The 13,779-nt window shown below is 40.3% G+C and overlaps 1 long non-coding RNA gene across 4 annotated transcripts in view, besides 1 other annotated feature; it reads right to left on the bottom strand.

The window, feature by feature from the left end:
• Positions 1–13,779, bottom strand: part of LOC105372926 (uncharacterized) — a 198,874-nt gene that overhangs the window by 105,785 nt on the left and 79,310 nt on the right. For 3 of the 4 annotated variants that reach the window (XR_001738473.2, XR_001738475.1, XR_001738474.1), the window contains 2 exons: positions 6,043–6,089; positions 70–4,368 (listed from right to left, as the gene is read on the bottom strand). This is a non-coding gene — a long non-coding RNA (uncharacterized LOC105372926). The remainder of the gene's footprint in view (positions 1–69; positions 4,369–6,042; positions 6,090–13,779) is intronic. The other variant, XR_922612.2, reaches the window with a different exon arrangement.
• Positions 3,131–3,280: an enhancer, noted in NCBI's record as "active region_2550". NCBI's record gives its function as "activates an Ori minimal core promoter by ATAC-STARR-seq in GM12878 lymphoblastoid cells {active_cell/tissue: GM12878}" and the evidence as "EXISTENCE:reporter gene assay evidence [ECO:0000049][PMID:35858748]".

Raw genomic sequence — 13,779 nt, forward strand, 5'->3', positions numbered from 1 at the left:
GTTTTTCTTTTCTTCATCCCTTCCCCACCCCAAATCCTTATCCCTGCACAACAGCAAACCACATCTTACCTATGTGGAATGCAGAAGAAATGTTTTCCTTTTGATATTAAAAAGTCCTCCCACCAACTAGGTAAACATTGGCCACATCACAGAGCTGGTATGTTATTGCAGAGCAGAGGGGAGCACAAACCCAGAGTTTTTTCAGGGTCGTGTCGAAAGGAATCTCAGGCTTTGGCTGCAACTCCAGGGAAGAGATGAAAACACTGTGTACACGTGTCAGAATGCCAACTGCAATGGCATGCATGGATTGCTACAGTGACGAGGATTTGATTGAACAATGGGATCTTCTTCACAAGTAGTTTTTGGGATTCCCTCTCCTCTTCCAAGACAGGATCCTGGCTGAGATCAAACACTGTATTCTTGGAGGTTCCAGCAACAACAGGTCGACTTTTGAACAGTGCTGTCAACAGGGCATCATTGCAATCCAGTGCTTTGAGAATTGCTGAACAAAAGCAAAGTGTCAGACTGTGTCACAGGGATCAATCAGTCAAGGACACATCTTCCCCATGTCCTTAGGGGTATGACATTCTCAACTACCACTGTAAAGCAGAAAAGTGGGACCAGAGAAAATTTAAGTGATTATTCTCATTGCACCCAGGTTTCAATATGGACAATTTGTGATGATCTGAGATGAAGTTGTGACGTTGTGAAATGCACCATTGAGCTAATGCAGTTGCACTCCAAGGCTTCACAGAGGGAATGTGGCATGCTGGTCCCATTCTGTGTTTGATTTGCTTGATGGTAATAGGAGAGTTATTTCAACTCTCTTTCTCCATTTCTCCATCCCTTAGGAAAAAAAGATCATTTTAATCCTTCAATAGAGCATCCAAGAGGATTAAGAAATAATAAGGTCTCTATGTGAAAAGTCCTCCATTGTACCCATAGAGATTTCATCGATTATTAATAAAAACACCCCAAGGCTTCCATTTTTCCTTGGATTCTGAGTATGTGGTTACTTTTGTTCATGGCATCCAATGGTAAGTTAATTTTATTAAGAACATTTTTAGAAAGCTACAATGTCAGAAGTTGACACTACTCTCTTTCCAGTCCTCTATTCTTGGTAACATCATTAAACATCAGCTGGCCCCAAAGGCAAGTTGCACCTTTTTTTAATCTAACAGCCATTCTGTGGATAGCATTTGTTTTCCATTGCTGCCAAGGAGACAATCTGGCTCTCATTTCCTTTGAAGAAGAGCCCATTATGATGAGTCAGGTCTACACTGGGAATAATTAGGTCAAATAAATGAGCCCTTCCAGCTGCCTATAGCATCACTCAACACCCCCCTGTTGCAGATGCAGGAGACATTTCTGGAGCAAAAGCAGAGTTTATCTGTTGTGAGTTACCCCTTCCACTTGCCCAAGGGATGCTATCAAAACATATGCAAGGTAATTATGGCTCCTCTCTTTGCATCTGGAAAAGTGAAAACTGATCCATAAAATCGCATGGAGATCTCATTGTCTTTCTGCCCTACCAGAGAAGGCTCCTGCAGCATGAGGAAATAAGAACCAGCTGACAAGCTCGGGCAAGACTCCTGCCTTGTGTCACATTTGCCCTCATGGTCTCCCAGCCACCTTATCCTCAGTTGTCATGTCCACTGGCAGGAGAAAAAGGAAATTCAATGATGTTGGAGTCATGTACCAGCCCTTTTTAGTATTCCACTTGAGCCGATATCTGCAGCTCATCACTCAGGCAAGCATCTGGCCCAGCCACCTCCACAACTCACACTCTCAGGCAGTTTTCTTTTGTGTTCAACATCTCATATACACAATAGGAGACTAATCTGGGGCTGAATTAGAAATACAAACTGCTATCCAAGTTAAAGATCTCCCCTGCGCCGATCTGGGTACCAGAAAGTGGAAAATGAAGATTAAAAACCATATATAGAAAAAGCCTTTCATCCAAGAGTCTCATTACTCAGAGAGAAAAAAGAATCTTCAGTTTTGTTTCTCTCTCTCAACTTTATCAAACCATTTAAAGATTGCTATAATGTAGGAACCCTCATGAGTTGCACCACCGAATTCCACAACCTGGAATTTTATACCTTACATTAACATGGGTCACTGACCTCCTCAAAGGGGCTGATGATGCATTTCAGGCTGGCCAGATCATGTGCCTTTCCCAAGGAATATGTGGTCTTCAAGATCCCATCACTTAACTTTCTAAATCTAAATCACCATTTGAAGCCTCTCGTGCAAGTGGTTTGTCTTGAGTTGTGTTTGCTTTGCTTGCCCAAGGGGTTTTATTACTCTGGGTTACTCTAGCTCCAAAGGAAATGAGAATATCAATATCTACACTCTGTCTTTTAAAAAAAATTAGAGGAATTTGGCCTACATTGCAGTAGTAACTCAGAACAAAAGACTGCTCACCAATCCTTGCTTCCAAGCTGCCTACCCTATAGTGATCACCACATCTCACATCTACCAGGAGGTAAATGATGCCTCAGTAGAACCTCAGGAAGGAGAGGACAGCTGTGAACCTCAAAAATGAGCATATTTGCAAACATTCTGGGGCAGTAGCCTATCAAACAAAGTTTATCACAAAATAGCTTTAATTCAGTCATTGTTGAGTGACTGCTGAATGCAAAGCACTTTTACCATACCTGTTCCACCCTCACTTGTGAGCATCAGCCTTGCTGTCCTTCAGTTTTACAGTAAACCCTGCATCCAGAGGCCTCCCCTCCTCAGACACCATCGTAATTCCTAGTTATGGGAGATAAGGAAGGCTTTCCTTATGGGGCTCAATTTAAACTCTCAATGCTGGCTCACAGACCAGCCCCTACAGATTCCCCTATCTTACCTTCCTCTGACGTGAAATCTTCCAGGTGTAGGTTAAGGAGCCCTAATCCCACATTGCCTATGGATTAACCCAGGAAAGAAGACATCATAACCCTAAATGAAGTACATTAATTTTTTTAATCTGTTGCAGCCTTTAATCAATTTCATTCACTTGCCTTGCCCTAACCTAACTTCCTCTCCTGGGATGTGTCAGCAAGGCTCATTACTAAGAAACGCCAGCGTCACCCACACCACGATCTTGTGACTTCAGCACCTCCGATTCCATGAGCAAACCTCAGCTGTTCCAAAGTGAAAGAGTATTTCACCTCTCCCAAGAGGCTGGGTCCAAATCATGCTACCGACTTCAAAGAGGAGGAGAGATGTGAGGGAAGAAGGAAGATCCCCTCATTGAGGCAGAGGAGCAACCTCAGGTCCTCTGACACCCAGAGGAGGTGCACAGCTACATTTACTCTGGTATCTCCAGACCACAGGTGCAGCACGGCTCACATGTGCAATGAATTCAGCATGTGATTTGGGTAGAGTGTGGGAGTGGATGCTCACACGTGCAGCCACTGAAGCCTGGGCTGTGCTCAGTGAGGCGAGAAGAGGGGAACTGAGGTCTATCAAGATCCATTAATTCATATGATCATTGTCCTAGCTGGTCAGGCTGGATTGAATTCACAGCAGGGTGGCCTCATGGCCCAGGGTAGGGACCACAAAAAGTTTTAATTGCTGATAAAACAAATAGAACAAAACTTTAAAATACAATTTTCTGCTCCCTCAACCCCCGGCCCCACCCCATGTCTTTAACCTGTGATCGAAAGGATATTAAGATCTTGGGTGTATCAACAGTCCAGAGGACAAGAAGGAAAATCCTGGGATGTGAAATATTCTGCAACAAGGAAAGCAACTGGAGAGGCGACTAAATTCACTGCAGCTGTTCTGCCCTCCTCTTTTTTTCTCTCGCTCCCTCTGTCTCTTTCCTGGAAGTCCCCTAGTAAGAAGTAAAAGAGATAATGGCTTTGGAGTGCATGTTTTTCCTGGAATTGGAAGGAATTTTAACAAAGGAGCCCTTCAGAATGAACCCCCCACCCCTGCTTTTCACCTGAAGTAGGACAAGATTGGTGCCCCCAACATCATTCTCCATGTGGCCCCAGGTTGGGTTGGGGGGTGAACACTACTGATAAGCTCTTAGCAATTTCCCTATTTGTGGACTCCGAAGCTCCTTAGCTTGACAACTGATGAATAAGTTTTCTTTTGTGGGATAAGAGTAGATGACCTTTTCCCCCTGAATTCCCATCCTGGGGCCGGGGAAGAGAGCCCAGGATCCCTTCTCTTGGCCTTCACACCGTGGGAAAGAGTACCTAGAGTTAAAAGCCTGATAAATGCCCTCGAACAGCTTTGAAAATCACTCAGCGTGAGCGCTTGCCTCCTGAACAAATGTCCAAGTTGTATCACTACGGGAATGGCTCTCGGGTCACAGACACAGAGGTGATTCTCTTTGTAAATAGATTCATGCCACTTGTCTCCTTTCTGAAAACAGTTTCAAAAGAATTATTTGGTGAAGTCAGTTTCCTAGGAGAATCCATCACACTTCCCCAGAGATATTTCCACCCTTACAAACCATTAGATAAACTTAAAGAACAAATTAGTCCTCGTGGTAGGCCACCCCCACCCTATCTCCAGTTCACCACTTCAATCATGCTAGTTTTTCAGTGGATTTGAAGCCAAGCTTTCACATCAGAGCCCTCCAACCAAGAGCCTGAGTGTATAACTCATAAGAACAATCAAGTAACAACGTTTTTCTTTCCATTCCTCACATCTGGTATCCGCTGCCTTGTGAATGGGGTGCCCCTCAGCAGGAAGGGTTAGAGCTAGGGTAAGTGTGTAGGGAGTAAGCCTTGAAAAGAAAGAGGTGGGGAAAGAGCAGCAAAATCAGGACTGTCCCAGGAAGTGACTGTCAGTCAAGGGTTCCGAAATCCCTCAAATAGCTACTTCTGCTGTCTTGGTTTTGTCCATCTCTCCTCTTTTTTTACATACCTGCCACCCTAAAAACTACGAGCTATGCCTAACGTAGCGCTAACCAGTTAAAGAACTGCTGGTAACTTTAGAAAAGAGTCCATTCCCCATCAGAATCAGAACAAAATCTTTTTTAAAAAAAATTATTTTTGGCCAGTCATTGTTGCTCACACCTGTAATCCTGGCACTTTGGGGGGCTGAGGTGGTCAGATCGCTTGAAGTCAGGAGTTCAAGACCAGCCTGACCAAAATGGTGAAACCCTGTCTCTACTAAAAAATCAGTTGGACATGGTGGCACATGTGTATAATCCCAGCTACTCAGGAGCCTGAGGCATAAGAATCACTTGAACTCAGGAGGCAGAAGGTGCAGTGAGCCAAGATTGTGCCACTACACACCAGCCTGGGTGACACAGCAAGACTCTGTCTCAAAAAATAATAATTATATATATATATATATATATTTAGGCCAGGGGCAGTGGCTTATGCCTGTAATTTTAACATTTTGGGAGGCAGAGGCTGGAGGATCACTTTACCTAGGAGTTTGAGACCAGCCTGGGCAACATAGTGAGATCTTGTCTCTACAAAAAAATTTTTAAATTAGTCAGGCGTGGTGGTGCATACCTATAGTCCCAGCTACTTAGGAGGCTGGGGCAAGAGAATCCTGCTGCTGCATTTTGTGCTACTGCACTCCAGCCTGGGCAACAGAGTGAGACCCTATCTCAAAAAAAAAAAAAAAAAAAAAAAAGAAATAAAAAGAAAAAGAAATACATATATATATTTTAAGATCCATTTTAGAGTTGCAACACAATTAGGAGGAAGGTACAGAAAGGTCCCATATAGCTCCTGCTCCCACACATGTATAGTCTCCTCCATTATCCACACCCCTGGACAGAATGGAATATTTGTTACAATTGATGAACCTACATAGACACATCATTGTCACTTGAGGTCCATAGTTTGCATTAGGGTTCATTCTGGGTGTTTTCTATTCTACAGGTTTGGACAAATGTATAATGACATGCATCCACCAATATAGTATGATTCAGAGAGTTTCCACTGAATAAAATCTATTTTTATTAAGTTGGCATACAATAAATGAATTAAGCATCATAACAGCACAGTGTAGTGGGGAAAGCTGAGACTCTGGAGTCAAGCAAGCCAGGATTCATGCTCTGCTTCTATTACTTACATTGTTGTGGTTAAGGCAGGTTACTCTCTGAGATTCTGTTTTCTCCTCTGTAACATTAGAATGATTATACTTACATGAGTCAATAAGAATAAAATGAGAAAAAATGAAATAACAAAAGTTAACACACTTGGTACAATGTCATAATAAATAGCAGCTAGCTACTCCCATCCTTGATGTATATCCAACCATAACTGCGATCCCATCATTAACAGGTTCTGACATTTTTGACTTGTCTTCATTATTTTCTTGTTTATAATAAGTGGCAAACAATGTCAATAGCCAGCTCAGTTACCCATAATAGTTGCAATATTTAAGCAACACCAAAATAATATGTCAAATTATAAAGACAAATATCTCACACAAAATGGGAGAAAGAATTACTGGAAAGAAATGAGAGGTAAATTCATAACTTCCACAGTGCATTATCTGAGAGAAGAAAGTTTTGCTGTGATTTAAATCTTAATAGGTAATTTAAATATAGATGTATAACATTATAAAAGTGCATTTCATTGAGTTATAGAATTTCAGCATTGTTAAGTCCAAATCGTTATCAGATACATGAATATCATTAAAAATGCTTTTTACTTTAATTTACTCATTAGAGCACTTTTTGAAAAGGCTATTTAGGAATCCCTGAGTAAGCAAAATGGTCACAACCCAAGAATAAGAGGTTAGAAGTGATAAAGGGAGGTTATCTTCAGAGAATCCTCTCCATTTATAGGTACTAAGCTCTGAATGGGTACATAACACTATAATAAACCTTCAAAAGAGATGCGTTGGAAGAAACATACAAATTTAAATCTAGTAGTTGCTCACTAATGGGCCAAGGCAATTGGAGAGAGATGCTGTAATAAGAGATAAAGTTCAATCAGCTCCTTTAGTCCAGAATTTTTCAAAGCGTAATCCACAGTCCAACTGTACCTAAATCCTCTAGGGACAGAGAGTGATGGTGGTAGACACTGAAAATGCAATGTCTTAAACTCCATCCTAGAACTCTGAACAGAATCTTTGAAGATGGTTGTGAAATTAGCATTTCTCAAAGTCATTTTTAATAAATTCTGAATGTGAAACCAGACTTGAAATGTGAAAGGAAGTGAAAAGACAAAGCTGGATACTCATCATTGAAAAAGAGGCAAAGTAGATAATGTGCTAATGGAAAGAAAGAGGAAAAGGAAAATTCAGTCATCTTCATGTGATGTGTCATAACGTATCATTAAGAAAGCACCCATATGACTCATTCCCAACTAAACTGCATCTGAGAGAGTCTCACTCAAAATATTACCCTACTCTTCTAAAATGATTCCCAAAGTTTAGCCAAATTTAAAATGGAAGGCTGGAGGCAGGGAATATTTATTTTCTCTAATATATTGCTTTCACACTCAATGTCATATTTCTCTTAAGACTTGAAGGTCTTTAGAGAAAGAAAAGCCTAGTGGAAAACCAATATTGTTTTGTATTAATGCATCTTTCTAGAAAACAAATTAACTCACATTCAGTCACATAAAGATAAATTCTTCAGGAAAGATTGTCAAGAAATAATAGTAGGCTGGGCATGGTGACTCATGCCTGTAATCCTAGCACTTTGGAAGGCCAAGGCGGGTGGATCACTTGAGGCCAGGAGTTCAAGACAAGCCTGGACAAATGGCAAAACCCTGTCTCTACTAAAAATACAAAAAAACAATTAGCCAGGCATGGTGGCTAACACCTCTAATCCCAGCCACTCAGGAGGCTGAGGCAGAAGAATTGCTTGAACCTGGAATGCGGAGGTTGCAATGAGCTGAGACCACACCACTGCACTCCAGCCTGGGCGATAGAGGGAGATCCTACAAAAAAAAAAAAAAGAAAGAAAAAAAAAAGAAAGAGAAAGAGAGGGAAAGAGAGAAAGGAGAGAGAGAGGGAGGGAGGGAGGAAGGAAGGAAGGGAGGGAGGAGGGAGGGAGGGAGGGAGGGAGAGAGGATAATTGTTTAATATAAAATAATTTTCTTAAATTTCCAGAAAAAAGAATGAGCACTCTCTTCCAGTTCCTTGAGAGACATGGAAACTATGATGTATTTTCTTACCAAAGGGTAAGTTCCTCCTACTCATTTTATCCTAACAAAGCTCCCAAGGAGCTAACTTGAAAATGTTGTCACAAGTTAAAGTATTTTTAATTCAGACCGCACATGAAATGGAGTTTGTAATTTCATCTTGGTCATTAGATCATGTAATCTTATACTTTTCAATTGCCTCTTTGCGTTTTTCTTATTCCTACACCTTCATCTAAAGCCTAAACCACAAGCTGTCTACCTAACTACGGCTGAGGAGATCATTGCCCTAAAATAATGAGATAAAATTTGAGATATAGAAAGTATGACAGAATTCTAAGAAATTGGAGGTATAATATCTGCCTGAGGTAATCAAGAAAAATTTCATGAAGAGGAAGAATCCTGATAAAAAGTATACATTTCATATGTAAACACATGGACACAGGGAGGGGAACAACACACACTGGGGCCTGCTAGGGCGGGGAGTGCGCAGGGTGGGAGAGCATCAGGGAAATAGCTAATGCATGCTGGGCTGAATACCTAGATGATGGGTTGATAGGTGCAGCAAACCACTATGACACACATTTACCTTCGTAAAAAACCTGCACATCCCGCACGTGTATACCCCGGAACTTAAAATAAAGTGTAGATTTCAATGAAAAGAGATGACCAAAAAAGGATACTACAAAAAGAGAGAACAGGAATAGAAACATGAAAGTCAAAACTGAAGAACATAATTAGAGAAAGGCATCTCTCTCCTTCCACTTTCCCTCTACATATTTTATCATTCCCCTGATCTTATCTATTTGACTCTTTCAATGCTTCTCCAAACTTTGCTTTACATTAGATTCTCTGTATTATTATTCTAATTAATACTTTCAATACCTATCTCCACCTAGACTATTGTGACCATCTTCATAATGGTCTCTTCTATTCATTTTTTCATCTTTGTATTAATCTGATGCTTCATTTTACAGCTTAAAAAACAGGATTGGATTTCTTGGTGCCCACTGAATAAAGTCATAAATCTTTACTCTAATATTGAATGTCCCATTATGTCATTCTAGGCTTTGGTTTTATAATTTCCCTTAATGCAGATACATGGAGGTCATGAAATAAGCAAAGAAATCAAGTAACAAAAAGACTGAGATCCAATTAAAAAGCCATGAATGCTTAAAGCATGGTTCATGAGGATTTTCCAGTGGTCTGAGTGCTCATGATATTGAAAAAGAATGAATACTACAAATCTCATGGAGCTCAATTTTTTGAATATATGCCCATATGCAAATAAAATGTCCAAGTGGAGGTAAACTAGATGTTATAAATAATTATTTTTAGAAAACAGGATCATGAATGTTTTTTCTTTACATTTGTCTGTGTTTTCTAAATGTTATATTATAAGCCATACTACTTTTCTAATTGAAAGCATGCTCTAAAAAACATGTTCGGGAAAAAAAAAAAAAGAAAGAAAGAAAAAAAAGCCATGAATGACCTTTGAGAGCCCAGTGTCAACAGAAGCATAGAATGAGCCACAAACAGAATGAAAAAACTGAGGCATAAAGAGAAGCTGAAGAGGGAAAGCAGCTAGTGTAGATAATTCCTTGGGGAAATCAGGCATTAAAAGGAATAGTAATGATCAGACAGCATTCCACAGGAGTCAGGGGTGGCCAGGACCAGCTCCTTGGTGGTGGTCATGATAGATGCTGGTAGCGGTGTCAGCTGTTTGTGGTAAGTGGCATCAGGATAGAGGAGACTAGGTCCCCAGATCCCCTATCCAAAATCACAACAAAAAAGAGAGGCATTCGTTCAAAACCAGGGAAAATGAGCCTTTACCAAGACAACAATCTGCATAAAAATCTTGAAAACATTTATAAGAACCACTGCTTTGGGTAGAAAGTTTACTTCAGCATATTTTGGGAAAGGAGGCGGCAATATTAATTAAATATACACTTATTTATTTATTTGTTTATCCCCCAACTTGTCACAGAAGGAATCTAAGACAGCAACAAAGCACTGTGTGCTGGATAAAAGCCACCACATCCTGGAATATGAGCTAAACTCCCTTGGCCACCAGTTCTATAAGACCCAAGCAAATAGATCGTAAACAAAGAACTCAAAGCACCAAGCTCTTAAACAGAAGGAAATAAAACTATAGAGGGCCATGATGAGAAGGGGCAGGTCCCCCAAGTGTACCTGAGCGCTGAACTGGCTCCCGCCACATCAAAAGCAATGGCACGGCCCCTAATTCCAATTGCTGAAACATTTTAACAGCTGGGAATTAAAATAAGCTGTCAGCCAGCTCAAAAAGATTTTTTAATTCAAAATAAATCAGGCTAACAACCTGCAGATGTTTGGAAAGAAAATGTTTGGGTGACTCATTTTCAAAACCCAATTCCCTAACTTTGTCATTTCAGGGTTGCTGAATGGCTGCTACCTGCCCTTAGCTTCTAATCATGAGACAAATTGTTATCTGGCATCCTCATACTTACCATTGGTCTATTATGTTGATGAGCAGTCATGGATTCTGTCTGGTAAACTAAACTAAATTTGGGGTTCAAGAGATGAGACTTGCTCAGATTGTTAACTGTGTGATAGCACCCCTGCTTCTCCAGGGATTCCCTCACTCTCTGATAGCAGGTGTAGATAATCAGTTCTGCCCAGCAGTTTTTGTACTTAAGTTTGCATTAACGTTTTTACCAAATTCTTAGAATAAATAGAGATAATCTCAGTTATGTACTCACTGAGAGAACAAAATAAACACAAAGGGAGAAAACTGGGGAAAAGGAGATTAAAGGAAGAATTAGTAATACAACAGATTGAAGATTTATAGCCAGGCTGGGCACAGCAGCTCATGCCAGTAATCCCAGTGCTTTGGGAGGGCGAGACGGGAGGATCACTTGAGGCCAGAAGTTGGAGACCAGCCTGGGAAACATAGTGAGACCCGGTCTCTACCTAAAATAAAGTTTAAAAATTAGCCAGGCATGGTGGTGTGCACCTGTAGTCCCAACTACATAGGAGGCTAAGGTGGGAGGATCGCTTGAGCCCAGGAGTTCAAGGCTGCAGTGAGTTATGATTGCCCTACTGCACTCCAGCCTGAGCGATAGAGCAAGTGAGACTCTGTCTCAAAAGAGAGAGAGAAAAAAAAAAGATTAATGGCCAAAGATAAATCAGCATCTCAGAGCCTAGACCAAGGACAACCGTTAGAGGTGCCATACATCAGTGGACCATGAATGGAAGAAGAAAGGGTAAGCTTCAGCTTCTCCACCTGAGAGCCATCCAAGTCAATGAGGACTTGCATTCTTTCAGCTGATGAATATGAAAGAGACAAAAATAATACGTGCAGTGTTAATCTGGTTCTAAAATCTGGGGAGCTGTTGGCCCATCAAAATGATGAGGCAGAGGTATCAGATTACTGCTGGTGCAACTTGAGCCTTCTCACCCATTCATAGCCAGTAGATGGTTTTGCCCCTCCTACAAGTTCTTCCCCACCTTTACCTCCCATTAGCCTCAAGTTGCTGATGCTGGGAAGCCAACAATGGCCTCCATTTCTGCTTCTTTTGTGCATCCATAGGCCTTTCATGTTCTCCCAATGAGGGTCTCAAACACACTGAATACAAAAGTAATCTGTCTACAAGTTTGTCTCCCCCTTTTATCCTTGAAAGCAAGAGCTGTGTCTTACCATCTTTGTATCCTCAGCACCCATCATAGGACCTAACACAGAGTAAGCTATCAGAAACTGTTGGCTGAATTATTCAGTTAAGTTCATTAAAGAGAAAAACATTGTTTTGAAAGGGAGCAAACTCAAAAGTCTCAAAAATGTTCTTCAGTCATGAAGTCATTCCCAAAATTTGGTGACCTTTCCTCAACCAAAATGACCCCAAGACCAGAAGCTGAAACAATAATACAGCACCTTTGACTAGAGGCTATTGGATCAAACTAAGAATGAAAAGAAAGGTTTCTCAGAAACAATACACTTGACACTTGAACACAAGGGGTTAGGTGCACCAACGCCCCATGCAGTCAAAAATGCACAAATAACTTTTGACTCCTCAAAAACGTAATTACTGATAGCCTGTCCTGCACAGTTAAGGACTGTCTCACCAGAGTCAACATCCTTGACAAATGAAAAGCAATTGATGACCAAGATTGCATTTCTTTCCAGCAAGGATCTATGGCTAAAAGGACATAAACTGAGTTTGAATCTCTCCTACATCACAAAAAAAGTGGACTTCCACTAACCATGATCATGTCGAACTAAATTGTCAAAATCCAGTACCTTCCTATTTGTCTCCATTAGTTACTAGTTTTACCTGAAAAAGTCATATTATCTACTCAGTCAATAAACATCACTTAAACTCCTACTAGGTGCCAGGCAGCATGCCAGATAGAGGGATAGATGAATAGACATGATCTCTGCTCTCACAGAGCTTAAGCTGGTTCTTCCTAACTTACACCCTTTATTGGTAAACTTGGGCTCCTGATAGAAAGGGTTCTAATTAAGAATAAATGAGATAACATATGTTATGTGTCAAACATAGTACCTAGTAAATAATATAGGCTCATTAAATGAAATATACTATTATTATGATTAATCAAATGAGATAATGTCTAAGTTCTATGAGTTGTACAATGCAGTATAGTTGTTACCATTTCTACCATAGAGAAGTTTCAGAACAATTGTTAAAGTCAATATTTTTTCATTAATTTAAAATGCTGAACTTTACGTACATCTACATTTCAAATGTGGTACATCTACATTTCAAACAGTGCGTGCACAGTTTAGACCCTAGAAAATGTTGGTAAGCAGCCTCATCTCTGAACACCCCCCAAAGCACCCTACACACTAGCTACATCAAACAGCTTGCAATTGCTAATACAACAAGCTCATTCACCCTTGGCTCCAGTGGAATCTGTGCAGACTTAGGTTTTTTGGCACCATATTACATTTCTCTGTCTCCCTACCCAGAAGTCAGGTCATTGAGGACATGAAACTTGTTCTACCTTTGCTTTCTATACCTGCTGCCTTTTGCTCAGTTCCTAGGGTGTAGTAATGGTTTGGTGCATTAATGTTCATTATTTTAAATATAATGATTAAATGAATGATCAAGAAGGAACAAACGGACTATATTACTTCTGTTCTAACTATCTTCTTATATGTAAAATAAATCATGTTAGAAGCATAGTTCCTTATGTTCTCTATTTATCCAGAATTCAATAAGCACTTAATAGCATGATTAACTATTGTGTGCACATCCAGGTGCGAGGCCCTATGAGTGATATAGAAATGACATAGACAGTGCACACATTGTACACAGGTTTTTAAACTTTGAAGGCTAACAACATGACAGATCTATTATTCAAAACTATCATCTTATAAGTTATGAAACTAAAGTTCATTTATAGAGTTTGACTTGATCAAAAAACAATGACAAACATATATTATCTACTTACCATGTGCTAAACACTTTACATGTATTATCTCCTTTAATTCTCAAAGACACACTATAAAGTACTATTATCATCTCCATTTTACAGATGAGGAAACTTTTTTATTAGGAAGATTAAGTAACTTGCCCAAAACAAGACCGTATCAAAGAAGGCTGCAGCACCCCCCTACCCAATTCTCATGCTCTCTCACTGTGCTGACTAAACAACTGAAATGGTCCAAAAGCAACATGTGAGCAGAATTCCAAGCAGGAACACTGCTAACCTG

Source organism: Homo sapiens, chromosome 1 (assembly GCF_000001405.40).
Source record: "Homo sapiens chromosome 1, GRCh38.p14 Primary Assembly".
NCBI lineage: Eukaryota > Metazoa > Chordata > Mammalia > Primates > Hominidae > Homo > Homo sapiens.